The sequence below is a fragment of the Homo sapiens genome, chromosome 12, assembly GCF_000001405.40.
Source record: "Homo sapiens chromosome 12, GRCh38.p14 Primary Assembly".
Taxonomy (NCBI): domain Eukaryota; kingdom Metazoa; phylum Chordata; class Mammalia; order Primates; family Hominidae; genus Homo; species Homo sapiens.
Genome location: NC_000012.12, coordinates 80,842,583 through 80,856,065, shown reverse-complemented (window position 1 = coordinate 80,856,065; position 13,483 = coordinate 80,842,583). Strand labels below are relative to the sequence as shown.

General features: G+C 33.9%; 1 protein-coding gene across 5 annotated transcripts in view, besides 1 other annotated feature; it reads left to right on the top strand.

Moving 5' to 3' along the window:
- The window catches only part of LIN7A (lin-7 cell polarity scaffold A), a 145,415-nt gene that overhangs the window by 81,869 nt on the left and 50,063 nt on the right, over positions 1 to 13,483 (top strand). For 3 of the 5 annotated variants that reach the window (XM_011538928.4, NM_004664.4, NM_001324423.2), the window contains 2 exons: positions 7,744 to 7,815; positions 10,127 to 10,336. In XM_011538928.4, coding sequence (XP_011537230.3) covers positions 7,744 to 7,815; positions 10,127 to 10,336 — 282 coding nt within the window. Of the gene's footprint in view, positions 1 to 7,743; positions 7,816 to 7,890; positions 7,968 to 10,126; positions 10,337 to 13,483 lie in introns of all 5 variants that reach the window. The other 2 variants (NR_136888.3, NR_136887.2) reach the window with 1 other exon arrangement.
- Positions 8,661 to 9,238: an enhancer, noted in NCBI's record as "OCT4-NANOG hESC enhancer chr12:81240607-81241184 (GRCh37/hg19 assembly coordinates)". NCBI's record gives its function as "activates a minimal SCP1, AML or CMV promoter by ChIP-STARR-seq in naive H9 embryonic stem cells {active_cell/tissue: H9 hESC(naive)}" and the evidence as "EXISTENCE:reporter gene assay evidence [ECO:0000049][PMID:30033119]".

The following is a 13,483-nucleotide window of genomic DNA, read 5'->3' as shown; positions in this document are numbered from 1 at the left end:
CATAACCTAAATTTTTTAGTTTATAGGAATTCTAACACTACAGTTTTAAACAATATTTTCCACAGTTACAAAAGCATATAGAAAAGATATATGAAAGCTATATGGATAGCTATAGCTTAAAATATATAAAATTTATATGTGGCTGCCAGGTTTTCAAAATGAAAGGATAAAAGACAATAAATAGATATTTTTAAAACATCTCTTCCTTAGTAGATGAATCAGTTATTTTCACAAAACTTCCTAAAACAAGCAGACCAAATTGTTGGTGACTTAAGTTCTATTTCTATTTTATTCTAGTCATATCAAGTACAGTATGTACATTTACATCAGGGCACTTAATTTTGCAGGCATGGACTCCATTCCACTGAATGCAATTAAACTTAGAGCCTCAAATGATCCCCAAATTCATTTTAGATACCTCCCTTGGCCTAAAATCTGCTTTCAAGAAGCCTGCAGTATTATTATATTATGATAAATACATTATGGCTTAATATTATGAATGTTTTCCAACTACCCAGGTGGCCTATAATTGTAAAAGAGTGTGGGGAGCTAAATTTTTATTTTTAATGTAATGAAGATTTTAAAATATTTTAAAGTCAGATACCACATCAAATAATTTTTCTTTATTCAACTCTTATCTGAGTTTCCCAATCAGAAAAATCAAGAAATCCATTTAAAAAGTGTAGATAGGTATAGATATTAATCTTAATTTTTATAATTTTTCTTATTAAAAAACCATTCTTACTTGCTTTTTAAGAAAAGCCATACACTTAACAAGGCTTAATGCACACTATAATGTGCTGAGATTTAGACCTCATCATTTTCCCATGTGTCCTTTCATTTGCTCTGATAATACCTATTATATGTCTTTTCACTTTTTTCCCTCTTGAGATAACTTGGTCTAATGTCACTTTGTTGTTGAAGCATTTACTTTTTTTTTTCCAGTCATTGATAGAGAGGGGTTTATATGATGCTAATTGTAATTCTATTGACATTTTAGTAGCCAACCCATCTATAACGAGGCACTACAAAATCTCTGGAGCATCCTATGTTTTAAAGAGATGTTCTTATCCATTAAATATATCTACTGTTTTCCATGCTGATAAACTTTGTGGAATGAGGATGAATGTCATGTTATTATTATATGAAATATATTCTTAGATATATATGTCTTTATGTTTCAAACCCTTACTTTTAGCTTCTGAAATCATGATTAAGTTTCTGAATATTTTCATCTCTTTAAAATATTTTCTGCTTTCCTATGTCTTAAAAAATATTTTTTGCTTTTTAAAAAGTCAGTCTTTCGAAGTATAATTTAGACAGTAATAGTTCTACTTTTTAGTGTGTTGTTCTAAGAGCTGTAATAATCACATACAATCATGTAATCATTACATGATTATGAATATATAGAACAGTTCCAACATTCCCAAAAATTTCATCATACTTGGTCTAATCTGTTGGTCCCCACCCTTAGCCTCTGGCAGCCTTTGATCTGCTTTCTATCCGTATTGTTTTGTCTTTTTCAAAGTGTCACATAAAATCATTATAATGTCTGGCTTTTTTTTTTTTTTTTTTTTTTGGCTTAGCAACATGCATTTCAGATTCATCTACACTGCTGTATATATGAGTAGTTGTTCCTTTCTAAATAAATTTTGTAGAGATGGGGTCTCACTATGCTGCCAAGTCTTGTCTAGAATACCTGCGCTCAAGTGATCCTCCTGCCTCAGGCTCCCAAGGTGCTGAGATTACAGATGTGAGCCACTGTGCCCAGCCAGTTGTTCCTTTTTAATGCCAAGTAGTCCATTGTATGGCTATACCACCAGTTAATTATTCATTCACACCTGAAGGCTATTTGGGTTGTTTCCAGTTTGTGCCAATTATGAATAAAGTTGCTATAAGTATTTCCATATTGTTTTTGTATGAATATAACTTTTTCTTTATCTTGGATAAATAGCTAGAAGAAGATGAGTGGATCTTACATTAAATCTTGCAGGAAACTGTTACTCTGTTTTCTCAAATAGCTGTACCATTTTGTATTTCCACTAGCAATGTTCAAGAGTTCTAGTTCTTCAGCAGGGGCACAGTGGCTCATGCCTGTAATCCCAGAACTTTGGGAAGCCGAGGCCGTCGGATCACTTGAGGTCAGGAGTTCGAGACCAGCCTGAACAATATAGTGAAACCCCGTCTCTATTAAAAATACAAAAAAATTAGCTGGGCATGGTGGTGGACGGCTGTAAGCTACTCAGGAGGCTGAGACAGCAGAATCGCTTGAATCTGGGAGGCAGAGATTACAGTGAGACGAGATAGTGCCACTGCATTCCAGCCTGGGTGACAGAGTGAGACTCCGTCTCAAAAAAAGAAAAAAAAATTCTAGTTCTCCAACATTCTCACCTACACTAGATATCGTCAGTATGTTTTTTTTTTTTAACCTACACATTCTAATAAGTGTGTAGGTGTATCTAAGTATGGTTTCAATTTGAATTTTCCCAAGTGACTAATGATGTTGAGTATCTTTTCATATTTGCTACCCATATATCTTCCATGATAATGTACCTGTTCAAATACTTAACCCATTTTTAACTGTGTTGTTTACTTTTTGGCTTTTGACAGTTCTTTATAGATTCTGAATATGAAGCCTTTATCAGATATATGTTTTGCAAACATTTTCTGCCAGTTGGCTTGTCTTTTCATTTTTTTTAACAGTGTTTTTCAAAGAGTTTCTTTTTTTTTTAACTATTATTTTAGGCTATCTTTTTGGTTTGTAGGCCCTCATATTAACAAATTTGCACTAATTTCTGATGGACAAAATTATAAGTTTCAGAATTGGAAGGAACAGAAGAAAAGAGACCCTAAAGATAGCATAGTTCTATATAACATTTACTTGAGAAATATAGCAATCAGGAACTTTTTTGGCTGAAAGTAGCAGAAAGTCCAGCTGTAGTGGCTTAAACAAGAATGCTTTTCTTCGTTATAACAAATTCAGAGATAGGCAGGTGTTTTGCATGCACTTAGAAGTTCCATGTAATCAGAACTGACATCTGTACACTTCCTTGGTCCTTCTCTCTGAAGTTGAAGGTTGCCACTACAGCTGATAATATCCACACACAAGACAAGAAGTAGAAGACAGGGAAAAGACAGCACTTGCACCACGAGAGTAACGCTTTCCCAGCAGCTTCTCACCTGCTTCCGATTGAATTGTCATTGGACAGAACTGGGTCATATGGTCAGACAATACTGGGAGAAGGGGATTGAAACTGGGGATTGTGTGAGATGAGTCTGTCTAGTGTCTGCCTCAGCAGAAAGTTTTAAATAACATCAAAATACAAAAGGCAATAAACCTCTACTATAAAAGTAGAAGAGAGAACAACCAAAATCTAGCTTTAAATTCAAAGTTTTTTCAAACTTGCTGCTGGCTAAGCAACTAAATTCTAAAGGCACTTTTCCAATTGCATCTTGTGTATATATATATAATAGTAATAATAGAAATAATAGCAGCTATTAGAATAAAAGCATAATAAGAATAATGGGTTATGGTTTGTGAAGTCACATACTTTATCTTCTTTGATTGCCTCTTTGAATATAGGCTTTTACATAATAGACAACTAAGGTACACAGATAGTAGGTTACTTGAAGTCATGTAGAAAAGAGATCCAGAATGAGAAACTCACAATAAAGGCTTGTCATCCCTTACCTAGCTTTCTGTACCAATTAGGGTTTTCAAGATCAAGACGAACTATGCAATGTAAAGTTTATATTGTGATAATGATTGCATAACCTGTGTATGTAAACTTGGTAAATAAATTAAAGTGAAGCTTGTACTTCATTTATACTTGTTATTCTCTCAGGGATAAAATTTCCATCCGGAAAAAGTATTCTATTTTCATTTAAATATAAAGAAAAATAAAATGGAAATTTTTCACTTAAAAAACTGAAAACAGCCCTTCTATAGTGAAAATTTTGTTTCAAACATTAATTAAAAACAACCATTATTTTTTATTTTCATAATTTAGCCCAGATGCCTAATACATTGACTAGAATTGCTCCTAAATGTTAGCTGAACAAATGAATAAATGAACTTTCTGAACCAACTCACTATAATTTTATTGCTTTTTTAAGTTAATCTTTTTCAATTTTCAGTAGCTTGGAATAAGTTCTAAACATGCAAAATGCTACTGAATCTGTGCAATTTATTCAAGGTTAGGAAATTAATAATGCTGAGATATATAAAACCCCTATGAGTTTCTATGAATTATTTGGCTTACACTAGGAACTAAACCCATTTTACCAATGAAATGTCTTACAAATGCTGTAGCTGAAGTTTGTCATACATTCTGGGACCCAAAGAATTCAGGAGTCTATAAGCCCCACGTATAAGCCCCTCATTAAAGCACATACAACTATTTTCTGTTTTCCCTTTAAGAACTCTCTCAGGGTATCTGGTAAAATACTTTGGCTTTCCATGAAAACTTGCTTCAGATTTTTACAAATACTTTAAAAATTGTCCTTGAAAAGTAAGATAGGCATGGATATATTTTGCGCCTTAGGAAATGAGAGGCTAAGGAAGTTCATAAGGTGACACAGCTAATGGAAATAGAATTAATATCTCCAGGATTTGACCTGACTCTACAACCAGATCATGTCCTCTTCAGCTCACTTTTGAAAACCAGCTAATCAGAATCTATTGTGTTTTGTAGACAAAAAAAAAAAAAAGACTAGCAATTATATTGGATTCATTCCACTAAGTCTTCATATATTATAATCATAAGGAAGATTAAAATGATATTTCACTGTGGACTAATGAATTTATTGGTTTCAAAATTGTTGTATTGTATATTTGCAGCCCTCACTTGTTTAATGGTAGCCACTGTATAAAACCTAGATTCCTTTATTCAAAATATAAAGAAATTCTCATAACACCTGCAAGTTTTTGTTCACACTGATACTGCCAAAATAGTAATGATCTGATGCTGTTTTAATATAAGAAAGTCTGATACGGTTGAAAGAGGAAAGATTTTGAAGGGAGATAGAGATGAGTTGCTGTATCAAATCTGCAACAAATTAGCTGTGTGGTCATCGGTATGTTCCCACCTCTGTGACTCAGTGTCTTTGTGTGTAGAGTGCCCAAATAAGAAGTTAGGAGAATTAACCGAGCTCATGGATATAAAATGGTTAGCATTACATTTGGCCCATGGTGATTTCTCATTAAATATATACCAGAATTATGGTAATTTACTCCAACAAATATTTATTGAATGTTTTACAAGAGCCTTTACTCAGTGCTATCCAAGTCTGTTTTTACAGCTTACCAATCATTGCACGTACGAAGAAAAGGTATAGCTTAATTCCTTAGATCAGGATTTCTCAATCTCAGCCCTATTGACATTTTGGCAGATAATTCTTTGTTCTGTGAGGCTTCACTGTGCATTGTAGGAATTTAGCAGCATCCTTGGCCACCACATGCTAGATGCAGTAGCATCCCATTTATGACAACCAAAAATGCCTCCAGACATTGCCAAATGTCTCCTGAAGGGCAACATTGTCCCCAGTTGAGAACTACAGCCCTTGATCAATTCTATGTAAACAGTGTTCACGAACTGCTCATCTTAGGAGATTTTCCCCAAAAGATCCATGGTCAAATAAGATGAGAAACATCAAATGCCAGCAACAGCATAACAATGATAGCTAACTTTTGGAAACATACTAAACATGGCAAATTGTTCTTATCTTATTTAATCCTCATAACAGACCTAGAAGTTACTTACTATTTTAAGGCACATTTTTAAAATGAGGAAATTGAGGATCAGAGAAATCAAGTGACTGACAAACATCATACAATTAAATGGTACAGCTACGGTTTGCTTCCAAGCCATCTTCAGAGTCTGTGAAATTATCTACTACACAGTATTGCTCCTTGAATATACCACTTTCTAATTCAAAATCAATTTGGGGTCTTAAGGCTAATTATTCTTAATTTGTGATATTTATTAGGTACAGGTATTTATCTCCAGCACTTACAAAATCACCTTTTGTTTTATTCAATTGATGACAATATTCCAATTATTTGCTAAATGATTGTCTTCATAAACATCCTTGGATGCAGGCAAAGTCACTTTCCCTGGCAATGTTAACCAAAATAACTTCAAACAAATTCAGATGACCAGGAACTGTGGAGAGACTCACTCTGCTTGAGGGAGGCAGAAAACATTTAATAGAGGAGACAATATTTGAATTTGACCTTTTATCATCATATTAAATTTGGATGAATAAGAGTCTGCCAGGTGGAAGGGCATTCCTAGCAGAGTAAACGGCATGTGCAGAGACCTAGGTAACTTGGAGAGTTCAATATGTTTGAGGAATGGTGGGGGTGGAGAAAAGAAAACAGGAAAATAAAACTAGAGAGAAGGCTGAGTTCTGCATTATTATCTGTGGCTTGACTCCTGTAGGTATTTGCCCTTATCACCTTTGCAGTAAGGGCAGCAGACAGCCAAGAGCACAGCAGGGACATGGTCAGGTAGGTACTTGATGATCACCAAAGTGTATATGGTTTGATGGCAGGGAGACCCAATTAAGTCACTAATGCAATGCTTGCAGCAAGAGATAATGAGCTAGGGTGGAATGAAGGGTCAGATTTGAGAGAGTTTATTACAAGAGAAGCAGGGCAGGGAAAATCCTCCTCTGAAATGGGCTATTAGAGCAAATAGTATAATTTATTTTTGGAAAGGCTGTCTCTATGAAACAAAATAATGCATTTCCAAGGAAATAATCTGGAAGTACGTTTAGCAGCTGTTCAGGTAACCTGGAGAATTTGCAGTAACATATCTCAGATTCCATAAATGATCTTCTGGAAACTTGTTCCTGTCTCCATTCAGATTTCCCATAGAAATTGAACACCTCATAATTGTTAAGTGGAGATTCAGAGCTAAAAGTTAGATTCTGAATTGCACTGTTGCCTTTTTAGTACAGACTACTTTGTCAATTTCCTTCTAACCATGTCACCTGGGAAAGATGAGTCAGCGTTAGTGGAGATTCAACCAAATGTATTTGAGAAATTATGAGCCAGTCAAAAATGCAGGGAAGAGATTAGTCCCAGACACTCAACAAATAGTTGTTGAATGGGTGAATTAATCAAATGTTGGATTCACTTATTTAATTTTTGAGTTAAGCATGTAAAATAAGATTAATATAAAGGAAGAAAAAAACCTTTCAACCTTCGATTGCAGTTTTTCCCTTTCCTTTTTTACTGAAATAGCTAATGGATCACTCCCCAAAAATACTCTAGCCTAGTACCAAATGGACTTTTATTGCTATGCATTATGCAATAAATTTTTACGTATACTATTTAAATCCAAAATGAACATATAGTCCAACACATTTAACCTTGTTACTTTTTTCCAAACATCTTCCTCAAGGCATCCTTTAAGTTTTTTTTTTTCTGTACTTTAGTTTAAGCAATTTATTTTACCATAGATACAAAGATTTTATAATCCCATCCCTGGAAGTTTATAAGAAACAATTTTTTTCTACTACATTTTAATGATTTCTGTAATTGTATCTAAAATCACAATGAGTAATAATATCTGCTGTTTAAGGAGTGCTATCAGGTACATTCCCAAACATCAGACCTATGTTATTTTGCAATAGAGAATTTTTTTCCTACAGTGAAAATATAATTTTCTTTCTGCAATAAAAGAATTATTATTCTTCATGTTCTTACACATTCTTCTTTTTATGTGAACATTTTAGGTGTATCAATATATGCATGAAACGATAACTGTTAATGGCTGTCCCGAATTCCGTGCGAGGGCAACAGCAAAGGTAAGGCTTGAGTAACTTTAAAAATATACTTGACCCCAGTTATCTAGTAATTGATTGTGCGCGTGTGTGTTTCAGGTATTCTCGTGTGTACACTGTAAGAGAATTTAGACATCAGTGGCAGCCCAGAGTCTAGAACCAGTACTACTTCTCAGGTAAAAATCCTAATGGAAAATTGAACGTTTCTGCTGCTTCTGTAGCTTAAGAAAGGAGAATGATTTCATTAAACTCACTTAATGTCCATTTGGCACAAGCAAATCTACTGGTTCATTGTGTGAAATACTATATGATTTTCAGACACATTCTTCTGATCTGAAAGAACCTGTATCATATTCAGTGCATGAAGATTTATTTGCACCGGTCTAAAGATTTGATTTCAAATAGACAGGAAAAGAATTCACCTGACACCCACTGATCTAGGATACTTCTGTGTATTCAGCTGAGCAGTGGGTAACTTGCTGAAAGGATGTGGCATAGACCTTATAGAAAACGCCTGTCACCTTTTGTGGTAGTGACCACATCTGCCCTTTAAAGACTCAAATCCAGAGACTGTAGAGACCCTACTAATGGAAATGTTATACCGATAACATCAGGAAATTATCAGGAAAATAGGCCATTAGGAAATACCAATTTTAAACTAAAATCACTGATGCAGCTCTTCTTTTACAAACACACAAATGTTATAATAGAAACATGACTTGCTTTTAAAAATACTTTATTTTTCTAATAATGTATAAGAAATAACCATTGAAAATGAGTAGAATTTTCCATTTAATTATTTTGTGTTACATCAACGCTTGTTTAGTTTCTCTCTTGATTTTTTAGTTTTTACTCTGTAACTGAACACTGTAGATTTGTAAGGTTTTTTTGTTTTGTTTTGTTTTGTTTAAACTCAGGGAAAAAAAGAGGGTGTTATTATCATCATGTCATGCTTTGCTTGTACTGAAGTGGAACACACACAGAAAAATGATCCCTACGTGGTTTAATTAAGGGGAAAGTGAATTGTGTAGTGTTTTACCATTCTCATTTCTTATTCATGTAGAACAGCAGGATAGCAGCATAATGTTGCAATAGCACAGTATTTTCTGGTTGTTTCTGGGCTGTCTGCATTGCATCCATGTCAGCCATTAAAATCTATGCATGACAATGAGGTTTGCATGAGCAAATGCATGTAGCTAAAAACAAGCCATTGTTTTCATGTCATTCACTATCTTTCACTAAATGCAGACAGTAGCATAATGCTAAATTGATGTGATAATGCTGTGTGTGGAAAAGAAGGTACAGTCGTTGGGAATAAATATTTTCACAGTGTTGAGTAAGTCACTTTATAGCAGGCATCTAATCAACTGTGATCAAGGTGAATTAATAAAAGTGAAAAATAAGCAGGCACAGAATCATTTCTTGATAGAAACTACCTAAGTGCTGTTATTTTATTTCTATGGGGTTAGTGGGAACTAATGGTAAGTTGTTTTCTTGAACTCATTTAATGAAATCAGTACATGAATTTTAAAACAAATTATGTCCATATTAAATGATGTTTTGTATATCTAGGTATAAAATCATTGACTTCATATTGCCTATTTTGTTATAATAATTGAAATATTAATGTATAATATAGGAAGAAAAATCCTGTTCCAGATAAGATTTCTCAGTATGGAATAATAATATGGTATATTGGTATAAGCTAACAATAATCTGTTTGAATCTATTATTTTATTTTAGTTTTCATTCTCTTTAAGGCATCCTTAATTTTTTAAAAAAGTTAAATTTGCTAAGCTTTTGGGTTGGCAATAGCAAGATTACATATGTATTCAAAAGTATGTATACATACAAGTGCTCTTCAATTTATTAAAAAAATACTTATGAACTTTTATGTGCAAGCACCAGATTAGACTCTGTGTCATACAAAAGAGTGCAAGACGCCATCTCTGCTCTTAAGGTGCTCATAGTCAACACATGTATAAAATAATTATAATAGTAGATAGTACATATAACAAAGTTATTTGGACTCCAGGAATAGGAAGAATTGCAGCTAACCAAGGTAACTGGAAAGGATTTTTATGAAGACAGGAAAATTCTGTCATAACAGATAAGCCCTAGGAAGCTGGAAATAGATGAGTGGGACTTTACCAAAGAAAGAAATCCTAGATGGCATCTAAATGAAGAAAGTCCTCTGCTTTTTGTGTTCTTTCTTTCACAGGAGAATACTATAAAAATATGAGAAGTTGCCTGAGCTACCCACTGCAAAGCATATGATTAGCCTTTATTTCCCTCATTTTATTACCAAAAGACCATCTTTTTTTTTTTTTTTCAGGCAACAGTTGCAGCTTTTGCAGCTAGTGAAGGCCACTCCCACCCTCGAGTAGTTGAACTGCCAAAGACTGATGAAGGCCTTGGTTTTAATGTGATGGGAGGAAAGGAGCAAAATTCCCCCATTTATATCTCTCGCATAATTCCTGGAGGGGTGGCTGAAAGACACGGAGGCCTCAAAAGAGGAGACCAGCTGCTATCAGTGAACGGAGTGGTATGTTTATAAAATAACCAGAGATTTTCTCCTTAAGCACATTCTTTTTTTTTGCCCCCTGCTATTACTGAAGTCAACGTTGAAAACCTAGAATAAATATTCATTTTATGTCTAACCAGCTTTCTAAGCATTGATGGATATTAAACCTATAAAAGCTGCAATCTAATTTTTATGTCTCATTTCATTATGTTCAGTTATGATAAATATCAGTGAGTTGAAAAAACATCCCAGGAAATTAATCCAACTAGCTGACTTTCTTCCCATAATACTCCAAGTAACATTTACAAGAATACAGTAATTTCAAGATACTTTTTATCCTAAGTTACTATAAGCAAATACATACATTTTAAGAATAAAGATATAGCTCCTTACTTTGTAATGTGTGTGGGTTTTTCATTTTAATTACAGAGGAAGGGTAATTTTAATGTTTATGTAATAATAACACATATGAAAAAGGCTAATGCACTCAAAATTTTTTTTTTTTTTTTTTTTTGAGATGGAATCTCACACTGTCCCCCAGGCTGGAGTGCAGTGGTGCCATCTCAGCTCACTGCAAGCTCCGCCTCCCGGGTTCACACCATTCTGCTGCCTCAGCCTCCCAAGTAGCTGGGACTACAGGCGCCCGCCACCAAGCCCGGTTAATTTTTGTATTTTTAGTAGAGATGAGGTTTCACCATGTTAGCCAGGATTGTCTCAATCTCCTGATCTCGTGATCCGCCTGCCTCGGCCTCCCAAAGTGCTGGGATTACAGGCGTGAACCATCGCGCCCGGCCTCAAAATTCTTGAAGCCAGATCTACAGCTATAGTATAATAAAAACATATTAGCCTTCCTCCAAAAAAGAGTTTGATTAAATTACCTATTCATAATATATGCTTTCGTTTTTAAATGAAATTAGAGTAAATTAAAATATGTAACATTTTAAAGTAAAAGTATGAATATACATTTTCTCATAACATATTCTCTGGATGCCACCACTTCCACTTGTAATAAGGAGTTGCTAAAGAAATTGTTTCCTATGAAACAAACATTTTCTCCCTATAACATCCACTTATATTAAACATAAATTACCTAAAAGCATACATTTCAGAAATATAAACAGAAACTTATCAATGTTACCTTTCGATTAACCTAAGATCTTTTTTCTAAGAACTTAAGGATTTTAATATATAAACTCGATTTCAGTTATTTGTGGCCAGATTGATTTATGCTTGGGACACAATATCCAAAATCAAATGTAATTGGAACATGATATTTTATTGGTAACTGTAGAATGAAATTCTTCTGTATTCATATCTTGAATTTTATTCATTTGTTTCTTATTTTTAGACTGACTAGTAGTTTCATAGAACCCAAAACTATTCCTTCAACTCTGCTGTCCTCTAATGTATATCAAAATTCTCAACCCATGAATATTTTCTATCACTTCAGCATTCCAATTACTACTTACTTTTTTCTATGTAATAATGTTTTGAGATAAGCTTTTTATTGACCTTTAGATAACTGTGACTTTTTCAAAGCATGTTTCAAGTGATAATTTCAGAGTCTAACTTTCTGGTAGAGGACTCTAGAGCTAGGTCACACAATTGCGTCACATAGAGGCTTATGCCCCAGAGTATGAACTTGCAATTTCTCTGAATATATTATATAAATCAAATAAGGTATAGATTTAAAAACAGTATGAAAAGTTTAAAAAATTTCAAAGTATATTAACAGTAATTATAATTGTGTAAAGTAAGAATATATATATATATAATAAATTTAATACGTGGTTGACTTTGAGCTTTCTTATAAGGGAGCTAAACAGACCTTGTTTAGCATAAACATTTGCAGGGAACACACTGTACGCATTTCATAATTACTTACCCATTCCTTGCAATGATGTTTTGATATACCTGGGAGGCGGCAGTTACCTTATCTGGAATCAAACACATAAGGTTCTACCACTCAATATTCATATGATTATGGATTAGTATCCCCTAAACTTTAATCCCCTTATCTGAAAAAAGGGAATAGTAACTAATTTGAAGGGCTCTGATGAAGAATAAAATGAGGCAAAATGTTTGTTGAGAGCTATCCTGTGTTAATTTGGTCATACAAACCTTTGACAGGTAAATGTGGCTACTGGTGAAGGTTGAGGTTGGTGAGGATTAACAACCTCCCAGTGATACTGCTTTTGCTAGTTAGGTTAAAAGTAAGTCTTATGGCAAACTCTGCTACATATATAAGCATATGTTAGCAAACGTTAATTAGCAAGAAGGCAGTGTTCGACTCACAACCCCTTCCATAAATTTGATACAACCCCAGGTCTCTGTCCATTTAGGTGTTCTAATCATAACCTTAGAAAAAGGTTCACGTGAGGCAGATGAGACAACTTTGTTACCCTTATATTCAGCATCAGACAATCAGAAATCCTATTAGATTGACAGTTGAAAATAGGGTAGTTTAGTGATCAAACTTTGGTCATTAATCCTATGGTATAGGCCATGGGCCTCCCTAAGATTTTTATATCCTCTTCATGCAAAGGTGAGGAATGTCTCCAAGATTGTAATATCCCACATATATTTAAACCTCTCATCTTACCAATTAAGTTCCATTTATAACATTTATTTTGCTAGTTAATGGGCTACTAATTTCACCAAAGAAAATCCATTTCTGACATATTCTTGCTAATAAGTAAAGCATCATTTTTTCATTGAAGTAGGTGCAACAGCTACTCATATAGTAGCCACCTCTAGAGTATTATCTTTCCAATCTAATGCTAATGCTGGCTAACTACCCTAGACTGGTTTATTAAGCTCCTAAAGTTGAAGGTTAAAGTATTACACATTCATATAGTCAAACTATATATTATAAACTACCTATTTTAAACTGTTTAAAAGTAAGTTATGTGCTCTTTAACAATGCCTAATATTGACCAGGTGTTCATCAAAAAGCAGTTTTCTGTAAATAAGAGACTTCATGACCCAGTGACTTGTTCATAGTCACACAAATAATAGTTAATCCAATTCTAGAACTCTGGGCTTCTAACAAACACTGAGCCCAGAGGTTTTATCAGTGTAAATAATTCTAGGCAGGTAACAATATTTAATGAAAAAAAAATCTGTAATGGAAAGGCCAAAAAAGAAAAGATTAGCAAATGATTGAAT